At 36.4% G+C, this 21,885-nt stretch overlaps 1 protein-coding gene across 5 annotated transcripts in view; it reads left to right on the top strand.

Annotated features, from left to right (window-relative positions):
• CNTN3 (contactin 3) overlaps positions 1-8,548 on the top strand; it is a 352,092-nt gene extending 343,544 nt beyond the window's left edge. For all 5 annotated transcript variants that reach the window (NM_020872.3, NM_001393376.1, XM_011533768.3 and 2 more), the window contains 3 exons: positions 3,738-3,850; positions 4,467-4,635; positions 6,615-8,548. In NM_020872.3, the coding sequence (NP_065923.1) occupies positions 3,738-3,850; positions 4,467-4,635; positions 6,615-6,715 (383 nt within the window). In that variant the 3' untranslated portion in view covers positions 6,716-8,548. The remainder of the gene's footprint in view (positions 1-3,737; positions 3,851-4,466; positions 4,636-6,614) is intronic.
• Positions 8,549-21,885: the final 13,337 nt, after the last annotated feature.

Here is a 21,885-nt window from a genome sequence, read left to right as displayed (position 1 = left end):
AGTATCTGCAGAGTAAGTAAAATCTATGAAGCTGATGTTGAGGAGTCTGAAAATCAAGTGCACAGAGGATCATGATGGATGCTTAAGGAACAACAATAATAAAAACCTCTCGAGAGAAAGTTATTTCTTTATGTAACACTTAAAATTACTGAAATGATTATGTGTATCCTGTCAATTAGTGTTGTGATATAAATCTAGTGATATGTCATCATTTTACTAGGATTAGTTTTTTACCAGTTTTTTCTAATTTAGCATTCTGCCAACAGTAGAGGTTGACAGGAAAAACCTATAGGATATGAACGTTGACAAACGATTTCCAAAAAATTTCAAAATGTAGACTACTTACCAGTTTAGGTCCAGTAAATTTTGGAACTCAATCATCCTATTCTGGGTTGCACTTCCACACAGGTTCAAATACAAAAAGTAAAATTAGAAGTCCTAGAAGTTACACTATCAACTATCCCCTGCTCATTCCTAATTCACTACTTGACTCCATACTTTTACAAAAGTTCATTGTGTTGCTTCAGAGCTATCTAAACTACTGGTTAATAGCTATGTCAGATTAGGCTAGTCCAGGCTGAGGCACCTCAAATCCCCAAACCTCAGTGGCCTAAAACTATACTTTTTTTTCTTCAACTCATACTATATGTTCATCATGAGTGAGATTCAGATCTGATCCATTCTGTCTCCCATTCTGTCTCCACTCCTGAACCCAGAATAATGGAGCAGCCAATCTCTGGGACTTGGCAATCTCATGGCAAAGAGAAAAGAGAGGAAAGCAAACCATACTCTTCAATGACTTTTATGGCTGCCACTTGGGGGTGGCCTATTTCCCTTTGGCCCACATTCCATTGGTTGAGGCAAGTCCTATGGTGAAGTCCCATATCTATGGGATGCCAATGAGAAGGAGAATTATGCCTATTTACAGGCAGGGAACCACAAGTCCCATAGCCAACGCCAACATCAGTGAGAGCTAGGCAGAGAAGCATAATCCTCTCAAGGTGCAGAGGACTTAAACAGAGCTGGTTTGAATCCACATAATACTTCTCACTAGTCATGTATCTTAGCAAGCTTTTTTAAACCTTTCATTGTAGTAAAGTACACATAACATAAAATTTAACATACTAAACATTTAAAAACATACAGTTCTGTAGTGTTAAGTCTTTTACATTTCTGTGCAATAGATCTCTAGAACCCTTTTCATCTTGCAGAACTGGAACTTTGTACTCATTAAGCAATTCTCCATTTCCCCTTCCACCAGCCTCTGGCAACCAGCATTTTATTTTCTGTCTCTGTGAATTTTTGACTATTCTGAATATCTCAAATAAGTAGAATTATAAAGTATTTGTCTTTGGGTGTCTGGCTTATTTCACTTAGCATAATGTCCACAAGGTTCATCCATGTTATAGCATGTGTCCAAATTTTATGTTTTTAAGGCTGAATAATATTTCATTATAGGTAAATGCCCCATTTTGTTCATCCACCCATCTTTTGAATAATGCTGTCATGAACATGCTTATACAATCTTTTTAAATTTTAACTCTCTGGGTCCAGATTATGTATGTACAGAAATGGGCTTTATTACAATGCAATATAATGAGGATTAAGTAAATTATATTAAAGCACATTCTGTAATCCCTAACATATTATAGACGTGTACTAAGTATTAGTTACTAATAATAGCATTTTGAACATGGGTGAAAGTTTCTCTGGTCCAAAATTTCCCAAATATTGTCATTCTTACCAGTGGTGGTAAGAGATGATCTTAAGGTAGTTCGCGAACATTATAAAAATTTAGAATGTTTATATAAGGCATTAAATTCATTTATTTTAGAGAGTGCCCAAAAATGTAACTAGCACATCAAGCTAATTATTGTGTGAATATTATTGAGATGAAGGTAAAATAGATGTTTAATTTTTCTTAAACCAAGTTATTTTTTTAAATAGCAAAACATGACAAAAATGATACATGACTGACGTTTAGAAAACAGTAATATGATTCAAAAAGAACAAAGTTAGACCCTATTATTTCTTTTTTGTTTTCCTTTTTTTTTGTTTTTTTTTTTTCTTTTTGTCATTTCAAAAAGTATTCATTTCAGGCTGAACTCATTCAGCCCACGTATGTTGTGACTCATACAAGATAAACCCCAGTGTTCTATTTGCAGTCATTTCTCCCTGAAGGCTGATGTTGGTATAGGTGATTTAACCAAAATTACTCAAACTTTTTGTAACCTCCAAACACACACCTTTTGTTAGAACAAACCATGCTGTAGTATAGCTCAGCTGCATCAAACCAAACCTGTCCTTTTATAGTGCTGTCAGGCCACAGGGTATCACTGGCTTTGGGAAATTGTCCTAAAAATTGTACATTCATATTATTTGAGTAACCAGAACATGGTCATTAGTATTTCAACCCTAAGCAGCTGCTATAATTTTTTTGTTGTTATTAGCAGAGCACAGCAGCTCAGACAATCTTAGCTGACCTAAACTCATTGTGAATACTCACATCACAGAATTTTAAAGGCAACATAGAATAGTGTTAAAAGAGACAAAAAGCAAAAGAAATCCACAGGGAATACAATCTCGTTTGGTGTCATTAGACTCATAAATGTATTTGAGTTCTTCCTATCTGTAAGTTCAGCTGTATTTCCCCTATGGCATGAGTCAATGATGTTTAGAAATTTCTCTGGATAGCTAATGTTTTATATCATTTTTCCATTACAAATTCAGTTAGCCAAATCACATTCTGTGGTTAAATCTACAAATATAACACTGAGGGCAATTGTGATGCTGTTGTTGAATGAATAATATTATGTTTGTTGTTGTTATTGACAAGAAACTGATTTTTCCAGTGCCCTATCTGTGTTGCTATTGACAAATACTATCGGCCATCCCTCAACACCCTCACCCCTTAGCATTAGTTTACAGTCCAGCGTTCACGAAAAGGAACTAAATTATGAATCTAAGTTTAGAAACCGCAGAGAGTTTCATTAATCCTCTAATGGAATCCTCATTAACTTTTTAGCGTTTTGCCTTATTTTTCTCAAAAATTGATTTAAGCCTGGAAAACGAAGACTTTTAAAATATAGACTCTCTTGCAATTTTTCATGTGTATAGCTATTACTCCATGGGAATAAATCTAAGTAATTCTTATTTTTGATTGCCTCACATTTTGCCCATCTTATCATACAAGGCTGGCTCCAAAATCATATACACTTCATTTCACAGAACTTTAATCTGTCCATTTGGCAATTTCTTCCAGCCTCTGTATGCGTCAAAATAAGTCCCGCCGCCTTCCTTTCTTGGTTTAGGAACAAGCAGCCCTCTAGTGGTAGATAGAGGAATTTCCTTATCCCCCCCATCGACGTGTTTTCAACGAGACACAGTAAGTGTGAAATGCTCTAAAGTGTATGATGAGCATGATAAAATGAATTATCTTACACATTAATTGAAATGCCTTTTTTGGGACTTTTATTTTAGATTCGGGGTACATGTGCAGGTTTGTTACATGAATAAATTACGTGTCACGGGGGTTTGGTGTATGAATGAAATGCCTTTCTAAAAAAAGGAAATTTATATACTCTGTTATTTTTTTCTGATTTCATCTATTACACCAAGCATTACCAAAGGCATCCCGTTCTACTTCCACTAGCTTCCTATGATAGCCGCCATCTCCTCCGTGTAAAATATCACTTGTACTTCGATCTGTTTTAAAATTTCTCATTTTGCATTTCAAGCTCCCAGTCAGCCACCAGGAAATGTTGTTTGGAATGCCACAGACACTAAAGTGTTACTTAATTGGGAGCAAGTTAAAGCCATGGAGAATGAGTCAGAAGTAACAGGATATAAAGTAAGTTTTCTCATTTGCAATGCTTCATTTTCGTAATTTTGGCAGTACTTTTCAAGAGAAGCTAGGTATAAGTGAATTTTTCTATATATTGATATGGTTTCTGTAATCTAATTTTGACAAAGATACCAAGCTTTCCATAAAATGGGTAATTTTTCAAAATAGCTTCTTAAATATGGTTTCAAGTGAAAGAATTCTGCTCAAGTGGGAATTTTGGACACAATGTCTCCAAATTGTGTGTTAGTTTGCTACTATTGATGCTGACCTATATACTACTTAAAAATAAATAAATAAAACTATTGGCTCTGATTCCATGGCCAGGCATTCAAGGTCCATACACTATGGCCCTGCCTTATCTCTCCAGCCTCATAAATACGCAGCCCAGCTGGGCTTTTCCACGGGAGAAGTTCACTCTTCCCAAGCCTCCCTGATTTTGAGAACCTGATGATTCTGCCATGTGCTAACCTCTAATCTAAGACTTACAATTAGAGTCATGAATGAAACTTACATTCTAGTGGATATAGAAGGACAAAATTAGTTAATTTCAGAGAGACAAATTCTATGAAGAAAACAAAAATGGGCAATATAACAAGTAAGTGTATTTGTTCATGCATTTTAGGTTTTCTATAGGACTAGCAGTCAAAATAACGTACAAGTACTGAACACAAATAAAACTTCAGCTGAACTTGTGCTGCCCATTAAAGAGGACTACATTATTGAAGTCAAGGCCACAACAGATGGAGGGGATGGGACCAGTAGTGAACAGATCAGGATTCCACGAATAACCAGTAAGTTGGTTGAAGCCATTATTTACTTTATTGACATCAGTGTTACTATCCGCCATAGTGAGTCAATCAGTATCCCTCTGTCCATTCTTTCTTTCCAGCAAGGCTTACATCCAAATGCCGGTAAGGTTTTGGCAGGTGAGACGTGGGCAAGAGGAACCCCTCAAGAGTGGTGCAAAATAGGGAGAAAAGTATGAGGGTGTGAAGAAAAGATGTCAAAAAATATTTAGCAAAACTTCATTAATTTGATTTTTTTTCCTTATTCTGAGTTTTACTTAAATTTGCCTTTGGATCTCCTATAAAAGCAGAATTCCCTAATCATTTCTTTTAGATCTTTAATAGTCTAGTTATTTGCCTCCTACAAATTATAGATAAATCTTATCAATTCTTTAAATAGAATGATTAACATTGTCAAAGTCCTAAACCACTTACCTGTGCCAAACTAAAAGACTCCTTAAAAATTCTTCTCCTAGTTTCCAAGGAGGTTCATACGAATTTTTCCTCTCCAAATCCAAGTAAAACCTATTTTACTATAGAAATTATATGTTTAGAGTTGGAAACAGACTTTGGTTTGCGTATTTTATCAACTGCCAATGCTAGAATAAATTTTATCCTCACTCTTAAATCCCAGGTCTGGAGTTTTCTGGCCTCAGTTTAACTATTGTAGAGTCCATTTTGACTTCATATGCTATTCTATAGTTCTTAGTGACATGACTTTGTTCCCTGTTTCCATTCATTTAGCATGGGTAATCAGGACTGAAACTTTTGTCTTTAATCTTGGAAAACAAAATGGCAGACATTAGTAACTGAAGAGAAACGGAAATAGAAAACTTAGAGAAATTCTGTCTTTCTGTAAAACCATAAAGGCTGCCATACTTAGACTAAAACAAACAAAGCTACACTAAGAAAACAGGAACTACTTATTGCAGAACTAAGTTCTGCAAAGTAAAAGTCTGCAGAACCCATCTTGGACTACAGAACTCTCTAAAACTGTATGCACTTCAATAGAGCAAAAGTAGAAATTAAATTTAGTTTATTATTGTTGTTAATTTAGGTTTTGAAATAATGAATATGTGCTTCTTGTTCCCTGAATGGTGCAAGGCATGGAGTTAACATTACAATATGGGCAAAGTGGCAATTTTAAAAGAAATATGTTCTAGGCTTTTGCAGGGACAGATGTTATTTTAGCATTTTAGGGCTGCTGAGTCAAGAGTAGCCTTTTCATCTGACATCTGCTGTCTTGCTGAGCTTGCAAGTGACCACACAGGGCCATCTCTATGAAAACGAAGCTTTTATTTATTGCCTTTTAAAAAGATTATGTTTTATATTATGTGTAATAATTTATCTGGAAATGCATAAAATAGAAACAAGCACAGACCCTTCAAACCCTTACCCAATGAAGCATTCTTAATTAAACCATTGAATTATCTCAAAGTTGTTTGTAATCAAGTATAATTGTTTTCAAAATGATTAAGTTGTTTTTCCCATTTCAATTAAAGTTAAATAATAGTAGATGAACAAAGCCTGGTATCATTTAAGAAAACTTAAACACATTACTGTTTTTATAGATACTCTTGGCAACTAGTATATGCTGCATTGATAAATAAAATGAAGGCTAATAACAACTTGTGGTGGTTCCAGGATAGGTTCACGTAGTGATTTGGTTTTGATAGGAGAGGTATTGCCTTTGCTCTGTGTCTTAGTCCTTTTTGGCTTCTCTAACAAAACTACCTAGACAGGTGGCTTATAAACAACAGAAACTTAATTCTCACAGTTTTGGAGGGGAGTCTGAGAAGCCCAAGGTCAAATTGCTGGCAGATTCAGTGTCACCTCTCGAAGTCCCTCACCTCCTAATACTCTGACATTGAGGGTTAGGATTTCAACAAAGAATTTGGGGGGAACACCACAAATATCCAGTCTCTAGCACCCTGATTACATATTGGTACAATCCTTATTAATGAGCTCTTCATCAACTTTGACAGGTATGGATGCAAGAGGATCCACTTCAGCCATCTCGAATGTCCACCCTATGTCAAGTTATATGCCTATAGTACTGTTCTTAATTGTATATGTCCTGTGGTGATATTAACTCCTTTTTATTATTTATTGGAAAGTTATTTGGTTACCAAAAAAAGTGCTTTCATGAAATGCAGTGATTATGCATGTTTTTTTCAACTCTTATTTTTAACTTTCTACTTCATTATAGGTAAATATGAATATAATTAAAAAAACAGTAAATCCTTTTAGGGGAATCTGAAATGCCTTAATATTAACTTGATAAACCAAAGGAATTTACATATTACATACTTCAGACTTTTGATATAAATGTTCTTAAACTATGAGTTTAAGCACTGCCTATGGATAAAGACTCACACACTCTCACATGTACACACACACGCATGAGAATTTCTTTTTACATTGAAAAACTCTTTCATTTAATTCAAATGCTATTTTCCCATTATAATAGCATTATTTGGAAGACTTAACCAGTATCAATTTGAAATGCTGATTTAAGTCCCCAAGGATGAAAAATACATTTTAAAAATTATTTTGTTGGAGAGGAGTGGCATGTGATTCAAAAGAGCATTGTTGGAAAATGCTACTGTGGGGCTTAGAAGAATGATGTTTGGTTTGGTATGCTGCTAACTAGTTGTAAGACTTTACAAATCACTTTGCCATCTGTACCTCTCAATTATTCCTCTATAAAATATGGAGATAATAATACCTATCTGATCAGACTTTGCCCCATGAATTAGTTTTTAAAAGATAAAGACTGAAGTATGAAAGTGCTTTTGTCACCCCAAATGCAATTGACCCATGCAAAATATTAGCATGAATTTATTTAATCACATAAAAGTCATGAAGACCAGCCAGATTTTCAAGCTTCATTCTGTTTCATTCAGTTATATTCCAAAATTCAAATGATCACATTTTATTCTTTCTCAAAAAAAAAAAGTTTTTTTAAATTAAAAAAGGAATTGTTTCCTTCACAGCTATGAATAAGCTTTCAGGTTTTATTAAAACCTAGAGGAAAAAATCAGGAATGACCTGAATCTCAACCCAAATATTAAACAAAATCCACATAATCCCTCATTTCAATTTCCAATTCCATTAAGGGACCCTCTCTTTTTGGATGGCAGAGATGGTTTTTTAATGAAATCCCACCATCTATCTGAGTGAGTCTGGCAGGCTTTTTAGTTCCTGAGTTAAATTTGTAATAGAACCAAGGCAATGCTGCTGACTTTGATATGTATGACTCAGTCTTTCAATATGTGGTTTTCAAAAAATTGTTGAAGACGTGACTTCATAGCAATATATAGAGAATAAATTAAAATCAGCAGATTGAGTTTTCAACATTGCAAAATCAGTTTTTTACCTCTTTCCTACCAATTTCACATTTTGCAGAAACTTGTTCACATTTCCAACAATATCAGAATTAGAAAACAGTTCAGATAACAAGAAAGATTAAAAATTAGGGAAATTCTGATATCACCATAAAGCACTATTTTACATTTAGAGATTACATTTAAGATAAAGTCATCATACACAAAAACAATAAATATTTATAACTTTCTCTATAAGGTCCGCATATACTGTATATATTGAAACAATCTGAATGACTAGTAGATTTCATATGACCATTGTTATTTCCACTTTCTCCAATACTTGTATTTTATGCTACATGTAATGAAGTTGGACCTTTTTATTATTTAGTAATTCCTATATGTTCCTATACTTTTCATTTTCAAGATGATTGCTCTATTGTTTCATGTTGTTTCTAGCAATATATCTCCATGAGATATGCACTTTGTTTCATATTGAAAAGTATAAAATTTATCTTTCAATTCCTGTGTGTGTATCCTATGGTTATCTGTATGTATTATTTTCTATTCTAATAAAATTTATAACAAGCAAATGAGTGTGCAGTATTAATTGCGGTATGGTCAAAGAAGAATGTCTACAGGGGGAATAGGAGACTACCATAATAGTTATGCTAAGGCTATCATTTCTTAAACCTTTCAGCCAACGTTTAACTTTTCCATCTTTTAACAGGATATTTAAAAATATTTTTATGCCCTACTGACTTAGTAAAATCAGCAATTTGAGACAATAACCTGTACATTACAGGTATTTCAGCTGTGGGGAGAAGTGGAAGAATGGGGAAGCAGAAAATTCACCTAGTAGAATTATAGTATCTAATTTTGTCTGACTTTATTTGATTACAAATGTCTACTCCCACATTTTTGACAAGTATTTTCTTAAAATTAATATCAATGTATCAAGTTGTTCATAGACTGTCTCATTGGTATCAATGTTAGAGACTCGCTTTTAAATAATCCTTATGGTAGATATTCTAAATATTTGAAACATTTTAGTAGAAGATGTTTTTAATTACGCAGTTTTAAATGTTATTGTTGATGTAAGGAGAACGACAGCTAAAATATCAATCATTTTCTTACATGATAATTGAAAGATTTGTTTAAAGGCAGGAAAATTAAGTGGGAAAACTATGTGATAGGGGTTGTATCTGGGTGTGGATGTGTGTGATTCTAGATTTAAACCCAGTGGTAATGGCTGCATTAATACACCGTAATGGAGGGGAATGGCCCAGAAAATATGCAGAAACATTATAGCACTGAAACAGTGCCAATGTCCTCTCTCCTGCAGAAGGCAGGGCTGATTGGCATGGCAAAATCAGAAAGTCAGCTTTGAATCATACTGCTTTCTAAATAACACCTTTGCCCATTTCTGGCCCTGTGATCTTATTCAAGTTCCATAGCTTCTCTAAGCCTCAGTTTCCCTATCTGCAGAACGGAGGCCATCCTAGAATTTTCCTCACACGGTGGTCAGATCTCCAGCCAGTGCTAAACTCTGTGCTGACGTGTTCTCTTGTGAACTGAAGTGATTAGTGTTACCAACGTCAAGGGCTGAGAGGCAGTAAATGAAATGTGTGTGGATGCTTAGAGTTATCATCTTCCCATCAGTAGGCAAATAGATACAATGGAAGATGAGACATCCCCCTGAAGGTGTTTTTGCTTTTAAATTTTTAAAGCTCTCTTTAGATCTCATTCTGCTGAGAAGAAAACTATGATTCCAGGAGTTCCTAGGAGATAGGGTAAAGTGATTCTGGAATCAGATTATTTTGTCATTGAAATATATCATTGATAATATTAAATAACATATATTTCCATGCCAGACTCTGAGATAAGCACTTTGTGTTTGCTAAATTAATCCTCACAATAATTCTCATTAATGGGGGGGGGGGGCAAGTGGCTTACACCTGTAATCCCAGTGCTTTGAGAGGCCAGAGCAGAAGGGTGACTTGAGGGCAGGAGTTCAAGACCAGCCTGGGCAACATTGCGAGACCTCATCTCTATAAAAAGTAAAAACTAAAATTAAAAAAATCTCATTAGTTAGGGTCCATTATCAAGCCTGTTTTACAGATGAGGAAACAGGTTTAGGACAATTAAGTTGCATAAGGACATCCTAGCGAGGATGTAATGAAATGGGATTCTAACCTACACACTTTGGCTGCAACCTCTGAGCTCTATGTATGATTAGACTCTTAATCCTGCTTGAAATCAGATTCACCAGATTTAGAGGTTCTGAGTAGGCATCTCTAGTATCAATTTGCAGTGTACTTTGTTCTATTATTTATCATATTTTAAATTGGGGAACTAAAAATACATGAATACTTCCTTCGGCTATTGTAAATTTTGATATTTTCTAATTCTTACACCAAAAGCTATCCAAGATAAAACTGACTCAGATCCAGAATTCTTTAAATAAATAGTATACAAAAATTTAAATTTTCATTATACATTTAAAAAAAATTTTGAACATGTTGTGTGTTGATTTTCAATAGTTTCATTATTTTCAATGAAAACCAAACAGCTTAATTCAGTGACATAAAAAAATGCGAAATGATTAGGATGTTACATGTTCTTTTTTCCTAATTAAAATCCCCCCTGCTGTCTCATATTCTCATAGTGCCGGCTTTTTTTATTTAAAATTAATCTTAATTGGGTTCATTTTTTCTGAAGTATTTTACCCTTTTTATAAATGAAAATTGCACTGATATTCATTATAATTTGGATACACTTCAGTAAATATTGGAGGTAAAATCAACCCACAGCAGCAATTACAAAATTAGCAATTAGTAAATTGTACCATTCTTTTGAAAGAAAATATGTAAACAGATTGGGATATGGTTCATTTAAATTGTTAGGTTTTTCTACTGTTTTTATTTGAATCCAGTGCCCTAATTTAACATGTCTTGCTTTACTTGTAGGTGATAATTACCTCTTGAACTTGCATGGAGAATTAATGCATGCATATTGAATTAAACTTGTAAGTAAATAACGCATCTATTATTTGTCAGTCTTTGTTCTTATTCTTTATTCTTACTCTGCCTGCTGAAATTATCTTAGAGCCTGGGAATTCTATTTTGATCATGAATACTGTGAGGAAGAGCAAGAATGAGGTGCTGTATAATTGGACATTACCTGGAAAATACAGAGACTAATGATAAGGATGGCAAATTAGTGGCTTTACTTTGGCATTTGACAGTAGAATGTGACAGACACAAAGCTAATGTAGAATGTGTATCTAGACTGGCTAATGAGGAAGTGGAAAATGTCCATTCAGTGTGATGACTGTACTGGCATTTCTGAAGCATCCAGGCAAAATCGGCTTCCCATCCATAGCTAAATTTTAAAGATCGTGCAGTGAAATGTTCACTGGGATCATAATCCCTGGCACAGTACTCTTATTGTGCAGGACTCATCTTTATGTGCTCAGTACATATTTGTTGAATTAAACCTGTGGATTTGTCATTGTTTTCTCTCACTGTCTCTTATTTTGTTTGCTTAATTTTTCCTTCTGTGCTGCCTCTAGAAATAATAAGATATGATGATTAACAGAATAAGAGGCATTATAAAATTTATTTGAAATATAGGCCATCTGCATTGAGAAAATTGACAAATTTGTTCCTAGTCATTGATGTGGATTGGAATCCTAGCCATGTCCCTAAATAATTGTGTGACCTTGGGAAAGCAGGTGAATTCCTCCAAGACGAAGAATCTTCATCTCTAAAATGGCACCAATAAAAAGAACTGGCCTGGAGGATTGTCATGAGGAATTACATGATCTAATCACAGAAAACTTTTATCATAGCTTGGCTCATGGGTACTCAATAGCATTGTCTAACTTAATAATATTATCGTTATTAGGCTTTAAATTCTGAATCATTGTTTAAGGGTCTATTGTCAAATACACATAATAACAGTATCCATCTGAAAGGATAGTTCATTCATCCAGAGTTTCAGATGAATCACTCATCTTTGGACTAGAGACATGACAAGTCTCCTTCCCTCAGAGACCTTACATTCTAGTGATAAAGCAGGGGAACGGGGCTAGAGAGAAATTTGAGGGTGAAAAAGGCATATGCCCAGGCCAACTACGGCGGCTCATGCCTGTAATCCCAGCACTTTGGGAGGCCAAGGCAGGCTGATCACTTGAGCTCAGGAGTCCAAGACCAGCCTCGGCAGCATGGCAAAGCCCCATATCTACAAAAAATACAAAAATTAGTCAGACATGATGGTGTGCACCTGTGGTCTCAGCTACTCAGGAGGCTGAGTTGGGAGGATCGCTTGCACCTGGAAGGCAGACGTTGCAGTGAACTGTGATCACACCACTGCATTCCAGCCTGGGTGGCAGAGTAAAACCCTGTCTCAAAAAATATATATTTGTGTGTGTGCATGTGTGCGTATGTGCATGTGTGTGTGTATGCCCAAGTAGTTGTAAGGACTAAAGTATGTTTATAGAGCTTTGAGCACAATGCTGGGCACACAAAAGAGCTCAGTCTATACGGGCTGTAACCCTATTCTCTCAAAGCAGGACCCAGATGGCCAACATCTGATGATGTTGCCACAAATGATAGCCAGCAATCTTATTCAGAAGGACGTTATTTAGAAAGATGTTTGATCACAGATTAAAAGCGCTGCTTGTGTTTTAGGAATGCTTCTGCCTTTAAGTAAATAAAGCCTTTATATGATTTGAAGTATCCCTCGTGAATTATAGTAATGGAACTGAAAAGAATCACTTGACCTGGCAAGTCTGGTCTAGGGTGCAGAGTAGTTCTGAATGCTGGTCTGAAGAACCTGAGGGGCTGAGGAATTTTACAGAGTCTTGGCACAGAGCAATACATTGAGTAAAAGGAAGTCATGTGAAGTGTCTAATAGGTGCCCCCATTTTGAGAAGAGAGTGCTGTTTTCGTGTTCTTACCTGGAGCAGTTTACCTCAAACTGCCAGGGCTACTACCCTTGAGTGACTGACAAGGTCCTGTTGGGATTGGAAGTTCTAAAGGTGATCTTTTTGGCTTCTACCATATGAACAAAAGCAATCTCCCTTCAAAAATTAAACACAGTTTGTCTCTGTGCAACCTCTGATCACGCCCTTTCTGTAGGAAAAGCCCATTTCTTCCTTCTGCCGCCCCTTTTCTAGAAGAGGAGATGGTAAGAAATGTGAAAAGAATCTGGGGGAAGCAGTGAGGAAGAATCTGGTTGCCTCTTTCCATCACTCAGAAGATTCATTTCATAGTAATGAACTAATCTTAAGAGGGAGAAAACAATGGATGTGGGTCAAGATTTGAGTCTAAAGAAAAGGCAAAGGGGAAAATAAGTGGAAGTTCTATTCTCCAACGTAGTAATGATTGAAAATATTTCACTCGTTTTCATTGACATTCACTTTTCACTGAAAAGTCATTCGAAGAGAATTTTCTTTAAAGTAACACATCCTCATACTTCTACACACGAGACTCATTAAGTCCTGCAGAGCTCATTCTGTTTACAGCCACCGTGCTGTTTAAAAGGTAGCCAGCAGGCTACAGGTGTTTCTGATGCTGGATAAGCCCCAGCTGCTAAGGAGAGAAGTTGGAATTTAGAATGCTCCCAAGAAACTGGCAGTGACTTGCTGCAGATGGGAACTTGCCTGGGGGAAGATTTTCCAGATCTGAACAACATATTGGTGGTAAGGAAATTATGCAGAGCTGTGAGCTCAGCACTCTAGTCTTGATAGTTACACATAAATTGATTTTAGGAATGATGACAGAGAAGAGTTTAGGGAATGATTAAGATTACGTGCTTTGGGCTGGGTGCAGTGGCTCACGCCTGTAATCCCAGCACTTTGGGAGGCCGAGGCAGGCGGATCACCTGAGGTCAGGAGTTTGAGAACATCCTGGCTAACATGGCGAAACCCCTTTTCTACTAAAAATACAAAAAATTAGCCAGGCATGGTGGCACACGCCTGTAATCTCAGCTACTCGGGAGGCTGAGGCAGGAGAATCGCTTGAATCCGGGAGGCAGAGGTTGCAGTGAGCCAAGATCATGCCACTGTACTACAGCTTGGGCAACAAAAGTGAAACTCTCTCTCTCAAAAAAAAAAAAAAAAAAAAAAAAAAGGATTATGTGCTTTGGAATCAGCCAGCAAAGCTGGCTGGAATAGCACTCATTTGCTTTGTGCTTTAGAGTAAGTTACTTAACCACTTTAAATTTCTTCCCTCACATATAGAATGTAAGTGAGAAGTATCTGCCTCTGTTGTGTGATAATTGCTCTCTCTCTCTCTCTCTCTTATATATACACATATATATAATCTCTCATACATATGAATATATATGAGAGAGTGAGTATAATATATGTAAATAATATATATAAAGTTATTATGATAGCACCTGGACAAGTAAGCCCTCATATTCCATACTTACATTCAATTTTCTTTCTTTTTTTTTTCTTGAGATGGAGTCTTGCTCTGTTTTCCAGGCTGGAGTGCAGTGGCTCAATCTGGCTCACTCCAACCTCTACCTCCCAGGTTGAAGCAATTCTGCCTCAGCCTCTCGAGTAGCTGGGATTACAGATGCCCACCACCACACCCGGCTATTTTTTGTATTTTTAACAGAATTGGTTTTCACCATGTTGGCTAGGCTAGTCTCAACCTCCTGACCTCAAGTGACCTGCCCACCTTGGCCTCCCAAAGTGCTGGGATTACAGGCTGAGCCACTGCACCCAGCCTTCTATTTGATTTTTGTTTGTCTCTCATTATTCAGAATATTGCAGGAATTTGAAGGTTGGTGCCAGATTCTTAATACTTCAAATGCTTTGTGCATCTTATTCTGTATTTTATGTCATTTTCATTTATCCCATTAGTAGACTTGCTTGCTACTCAAGATGAAAACTGACACAGCAAATGCCAGATTGAAAGGAGATGCCCACAGCTTTTTCTGAGGTTCAGAGGGGAGATCAAAAAGGAGAAACTGCCTTCTTTCCTTTACTCCTCAGGAACAAGTGCCCCAAATAGTCATATATAAATAATGTTAGGGCCATGAGTCCCCAAGCATTCAACTCCAGTTATTCTTCCTTGAGACTACGTGATATTTGTAAAAGAAAAAAAAGTGCATAGGAAAACATTAGACAGTTTTCTCCCTCATCTGTCATAGCATCTTCAGATCTCGGTGCTTTAGTTGTTGTAAAGCCTTTGTAGGTAAAGAGTAAACTTGAGTTTTAGATACCCTCACATTTTCATGAGTAAAACATGCATGACATCTTGGCACAGAGTCAGCCTTATTTATATTTGTGGGGTGTTTTTGAAAATTTGAGCTAGACTCATATGAAAACAGAGTTTGAGCTCAACATTGTGATTTCAAGAAGAAAAGTTCCTTAATGAAGCATATCGATCTGATCATTTTTCTTTTTCATGGACAAACATCAGATCCATTGTCACTTCCTAAACAATTAGTCACTTTCCTACACACAGAAAATTCCGGGAAAATTTTTAGCCATTAAACTAGCTGCCTGGAAATAGAAAGTCTTTGAAGTCCTTCCCAGCAGCACGTTTTGAGTCTGTTTTTCTTTTTAAATGTTTGTTATTTTTAATTGACAAAAATAACTGTACATATTTATGGGGTGCAACGTGATGTTTTGATACATATATACATTGTGGAATGATTAAATCAGGCTAATTGATATAGTTATCAGGTCTCACACTTACTACTTTGTAATGAGAACATTTAAAATCCACTCTTTTAGCAATTTTGAAATATACAGTACACTCACGTTAACATTCTTACAGTCACCATGCTGTACAGTAGATCACTAGAACTTAGTCCTTCTGTCTACTTGAACTTTGTGCCCTCTGACTAACATCTCCACTTTCCTTGGTAGTTTCTTGAGTGTCCAATGTTCTCTAGGCCCAGAGAAGCCCTGTGCACAGTTGCTTGTGATAGATGGGTGACCTTGCTGTCGCAGAGGTTTAGAAATGCCAGCTTGTCCTACAACTTCCTATACGAGGACATCAAAGGCTATGATCTGGGTACTGCTGCATGGTAGACACTGGAGTATACATGGAAATGCCTTATTCAGAGAATTATCTTTAAGAAAATTTTAACAGAAGAGTGAGGAATGTGTGATAAGGTATTCTGTCTATATTAGAATTTTTTAAACCTTTCTAAGTATCAAAATTGGACCCCTCCCTAGCTATTTTAAATCAAAGTTTGTCAGGTTGAGGCAAAACGTCTACAGATTTTCAGCTAATGAGTCAGATTTGGTATCCAATGTTCTAAAAAGCAAACAAGTGAAAAGTATATAAAACAGGGCAAGTATATTTAATAAGAAAAATAACATGTAAAGTAAAATCAGACATCAGGATTAAGATCTATAAAGGAATGAATCTAATGAAAACACTGCTTTTTAGATTTAAGAGTTTAAAAACTGTGAGATGTACAACAAAATTTGTGCTAAGTAGTATGCAAAGGATATTTAATGCATCATTGTCTGTGAGAGAAAAACTATTGGGAACAATCTAAATTCCTCAAAAAGGGAAAAGATCAAATATGAGACAATAAATTTATGCTATGGATTAATATACAGACGTTTAAAAGAAATCTGCAAGTAAAAAGTAAGCAAGGCAAGCTGAATATGTTGCCATTTATGTGATAGCTTTAAATAATATCCCCATAGGTATACATTCATGTAAAAAAAGCATAGTTAGAACAGTCTGGAAGGAAATACATTGAACTGGTATTAGTGGTTACTTCTGGTATGGAATGGCTGTATTGGGATTATGAGTTGTAGTCTAAGGTATATTTTGCCTTATCCAAACTACTTCTATTAAAGCATTCACCTTAATTAAAATGATGCATTGTATACTTTGTTATTTGCTTAGGTGTATATAAAAAGTGGTGTAACAGTATTACAAAGTTATGATAAATAAGCAAGATTCATGGGATATAAGCATAAAGCATCTTTTTGTTTTTTGGTCTCACCACCCATTTAAATGTACTTCATGATGTTAATTGTTTCTCTGCTTCTGAATAAAATTTCTGGCAAGTCCAGTGATATGTCTGGTCACTTTTAAGTGTTCTAGACCATAAATAACTTCTAGCCTAAATTACTCCCAACAAAACAATACAAAGCTCCTCCCCTCTCTCAGCTCAGGTCTTTTGCAGTCTGGCAATCTCATTGGGAGAGGTGGGCTTAACTATTTCTCCTGTTCCTTCATCTGGAATTACTCTCACTAATCATAGCTTCTCAGCAGAAAAGGGGTGAGGACAAAGGAATGCACTTAGTATATCAGTACCTGCTGGGCATTTGTTTCCTCAATTTGTGACTGTGCCAGATTAAAGATGACTGGAAATTCTTGATACGACCCCATCAGAAGATGACATCATTTCCCTCCTTTTCCATCTGAATTGGCCAGCAGCTGCTTCGTCCTATGGAGTGTGATGAAAGTGATGCGAGCCTAGCCTAGCTAGTCCTGAGCCTAGCCTTTAAAAGAGCTGGCACCTCCCATGTTGGTCTCTTGGGCCCCTGAACTGCCATATAAGATGTCTGACTGTCTTGAGAGTCACCATGCTGGGGGAATGTCAAGGACCAAGGAGAGTCCATTGAGGTCACTTTCATGGGTTCTTTGGAGACATCATTCTACTCACCACCCTATATAGGGAACAGTTATTAAATACTTTGACTAAGGAACTCCGCGGTCCCTTTGTCCTCCTCACCATTAGACATTTTGGATCTATTCATCCAGCGTATTTTTGCTGAGCTTTGTTGATTCCTCAGGTGGCATTTAGAGATAGGATTAAAGATACTATGTGTTTTCTCACAAAGTCCCCATTGTATCCAAGCAATGCACTTAGGTATGCAGTGCCTCACAAACTCGAAATTTACAAGTGAGACCAATACAGCAGCAGCAGATTTTTATTCTATTCCAACTCCAAAAGGCTGGCTGGACTATTTGTCCTATACATATAGCTTCATATAGGAAATACATACTAATCCACTGGGATGTCAAAATACAGGTGGTACACATAGTGGTTTGAAGCTTCTCTCTCAGATTGAGGTGAAGGGAAAGAAATCCACTTTCTTCCTAACTAGGGGGAGAGGAATGGTTATGAGAGCCAGACTCCAAACCCTCTAAAAAAAGTTCTCTATTCTCTCACCCCTAAACGTTTTATGCTAATGTTGGGGCTCAGAAACTGATACCCTAAAATATGATGCTTTGACATGCTGAACTGAAGAAGCAGCATAAAGGTCTCTAACAATTCCCACCCCAACCGCCCCACATACCCTACCTCCTGCCTTTCAATCCTCGGTGTCTCCCGAAGCACAGGATGAAGTTGTACTCTGAGGTTCCCTTTATCTGCCTAAAGCCTGGATCCACCACAGAAGAAAACAATTACCTTTGGTCCCTTCTCTGAGTTTTCCTTATCTGAACTCATATCACAGGAAGGAAGACTGAAATCTGTCAATGCATCTGGACAGACTTTTGTCACAAACCATTGTCTACTCCGCAGGCCCAAGAGACTTTGTCTCAAGCCATTGTATGTTCCTTAAGTCCCTTAAGCTCCCTTAAAATTTACTTATTTTCCCCCTAAAATTAACTCTTCCAGTCTCTGTTTCCCCTCAGAAATAGGGTATATAACCATCTGTACCCCAGTGCATGGCAGGGCAATCCCTCTGTGATTTTCATGCCATGCACGTTAATAAATATGTTTGCCTTTTTTCCTCTTAATCTGCCTTTTGTCAGCTGATTTTCCGTGAACCTTCAGAAGGTAAAGGGGCAGTTTTCTCTTGGCCCATACACATATTTAGCATGAGTCAAGAGTTTGAGTCACAAAGCTTGTTTTGCCCATTCTGTTTTGAAGTCTCATATGGTAGTCAAACTCCACACTCTAAAAGGTGGAATCAATGGTCCAGAGACCGGGCCAGGTGCAGTGGCTCACACCTGTAATGCTAACACTTTAGAAGGCCAAGGGAGGCTGATTGCTGGAGTCCAGGAGTTTCAGACCAGCCTGGGCAACATAGCAAAACTCCAGCTCTACAAAAAATTAGCTGGGCGTAGTGGTGTATACCTGTAGTCCCAGCTACTCTGGAGGCTGAGGTGGGAAGATTGCTTGAGCCCAGGAGGAAGAGGCTGCAGTGAGCCATGCTCATGCTGCTGTACTCCAGCCTGGGTGATAGAGCAAGACATTGTCTCAAAAATAAACAAACAAACAAACGAAGACTGTAGACCTCATCTCAGATTTATATTTTAGATTCTAATTCCTTAACATTTTCCTCTTGGTTGGCTTGAGCCTGTTTTTATTATGGGGCTACAAGCATGGCAGCAGGTGAAATAATGCCAACCAAGGCGAGAGTCTTAAGGAAAAGACAAAACAAAACATTTGTACTCCTCAGTCCTTAGAGCCAAGAAGGTAGACTAAGATAAGACTTAAAATACAGGGTTTCCTCATTGGTTTACACATACAAATGCTTGATGATACAAGCAGAAATTTTTCCTTTTCTAATTTTAAATCATTGTTGGACCCAAATAAAAAAGGACAATGACAGGCTCTGAATCCGAATAATCCGAATGATATAATAAAACACAAGCCAGACCTGCATCTCTAGGCAAAGGAGGCAAATGCAGTATTTTCTTTTGGAAATATTTGGTGGTTAATCAGAACAGGTCAGAGGCATTCTGAAATGCTTGCTTCCAAGGAAGCCCTGAAATCAAATTAAGCCTGCTGGATAAAGCACGAGGAAAAGATGTGTTATACAAAATTTGAGTGTTGTGAAAATGTTTTTTTGTTTTACTTACCCTTTCTTTCTTCCAAAAAGATTCTTTAACTTTTAAGCTTTAATCTCTAAAGATCTGGGACAGCGTAAAATATACACAACTGAAATGGAAAAGAGGATGTTAAAGACATAGCAAAGAAGAAAAACATATTTGAATAAAGAGCAAGTAGAAATAGACTATAAATGTCTTACATAAAAATTAAAAATATTTCAGAAATGGAAATGCTTTTTTCTTTTTTTTTCTAAATTCTAGGGTGACATAGAAGACAATGGAAATGCTTTTGTTGAGTGTTCGTGTTTACGACTACAGCATGTGCTTATGTTTCTGGCAATGTTAATTTGAAAAGCTTCTTTAAATTTTACTTGTCAGTGTAAAAATATCACTTGGCTTGCAAAACAATTGTCAAGTATATTGTGTATATATGCTGGACATTGCATAGCTATCTAGTCTAAAAGCTAATTTTATCCTTAAGAATTATTGGAAATCAAATTTAGATAGTGTGCTGGAAAAGAGTAAACTTGTCTCTTTATTGTGAGAATGTGAAAGTTGAAACTATCTGTCAGGCAGTGGCACCTAGGAATTAACTTCAGACAATCAGAGATGAAGTTTGGCATGAGAACAAGCATTAATCTGACAGCTTTATGTCAATAATAATTAACAATGTATGATTTGGGGAAGCCAAATAGGTTTGTAGACAGCCAAACCTTAAAATATATTTTCTTGTTTCATGGTAATATGGATTTTTCTATTTACATTTGAAAAGTTTATTTCTATTATGTATTTATATACCAAAATGTGTAGTCCTTATTTATTTAATAAATTGTGCCTTTAACATTTCACTAGTGGCTCATAAAAGCATCTGATGATGGTTTATTCTGCACTGCCTTGTTTACTTAGAAATTGGGTATATATTTAACTCTTGAAAAGCATTCCATAAATACCATCTATAATAAGAGTTATTGGAGCATATATTGATTATTGGATTGTCTATCTACTCAAATGTCAGTAACTATCCGTAGAGCAGAGAGTGCATTTTTTTCATCTTTGTATATCTGGCATATAGCATACTGCTTGGTAATTGGTAGACAATGAATACATTAAAAATTAATAAAATGAATGAATGAATGAGAGTTCCAGATCACTCTCTTCCATCATTCAGTCAGAGGTCATCTTTTCTGTTGCTTCCTATACTCATCTTTAATAACTGACATTTCTGCATGAATCATGGGGAAAGATGTTTTTTCTCTTTATTAAACAGGCACTACATAGTTTCTCTTTCCTCCAACAAGAGACAGAAGTTAAACTAAGATTCATGAATGATTAAGCACAGTGGTAAAATATACAGTGTCTTTTAAAAATAAGCCCAGGATATGACTTGCTGAAATATTCTTGTTTCTGTGGTCTGTTGAGGTAAATGATTTTAGATTCCCTAATCTTCCAAATGAGGATAATAGCCATAGCAATTCAATAAAGTTATGAGAATTCACACAGAATTCATGTAAAGCACAAAGCACAGAGTCTGACATGTATAGGAGCTCAGTAAATAGTTGTTCTTAACTGTGACTTGATGTTTTGATAGAGGATGCTTCAGAACAGGTTCCTATCAAGATTAGAGAAAACAAGTTACAGAAAAACCCATTCTTTTCTTAGACTCTCCTATGCTTTTTTAGCATAAACAAAAGATTTGTTTATCTTTCCATTTTCATCATTGCAATATTACCTGTACGTTGTCTTACCTATATTTAATGTCTCATTGTCCATATAATATTTTCAAGAAATAATAAGAACATGGGACTTTGATCATAAAACATCTAGTGTGGCTTTGTGGTGTCTGTATTTGGGAAGCTTAGTCTTAATTCCTTCTATGGTTAACAACCTCTCATCTTTTGGCTGGGCACGGTGGCTCAATGACTATAAATCCTAGCACTTTGGGAGCCGAAGTGGGCAGATCACTTGAGCCCAGGAGTTCGAGACCAGCCTAGACAACATGACAAAATCCTGTTTTTACCAAAAATACAAAAATTAGCTAGGCATGGTGGCGCAATTGTGGTCCCAACTACTCAGGAGGCTGAGGTGGGAGGATTGCTGACGCCTGGGAGGCGGAGGTTGCAGTGAGCCAAGATCGCACAACTGCACTCCAA

Source organism: Homo sapiens, chromosome 3, assembly GCF_000001405.40.
Source record: "Homo sapiens chromosome 3, GRCh38.p14 Primary Assembly".
Lineage (NCBI taxonomy): Eukaryota > Metazoa > Chordata > Mammalia > Primates > Hominidae > Homo > Homo sapiens.
Note: the sequence above shows the minus strand (reverse complement) of the source record. Positions and strands in the feature narration are given on the sequence as shown.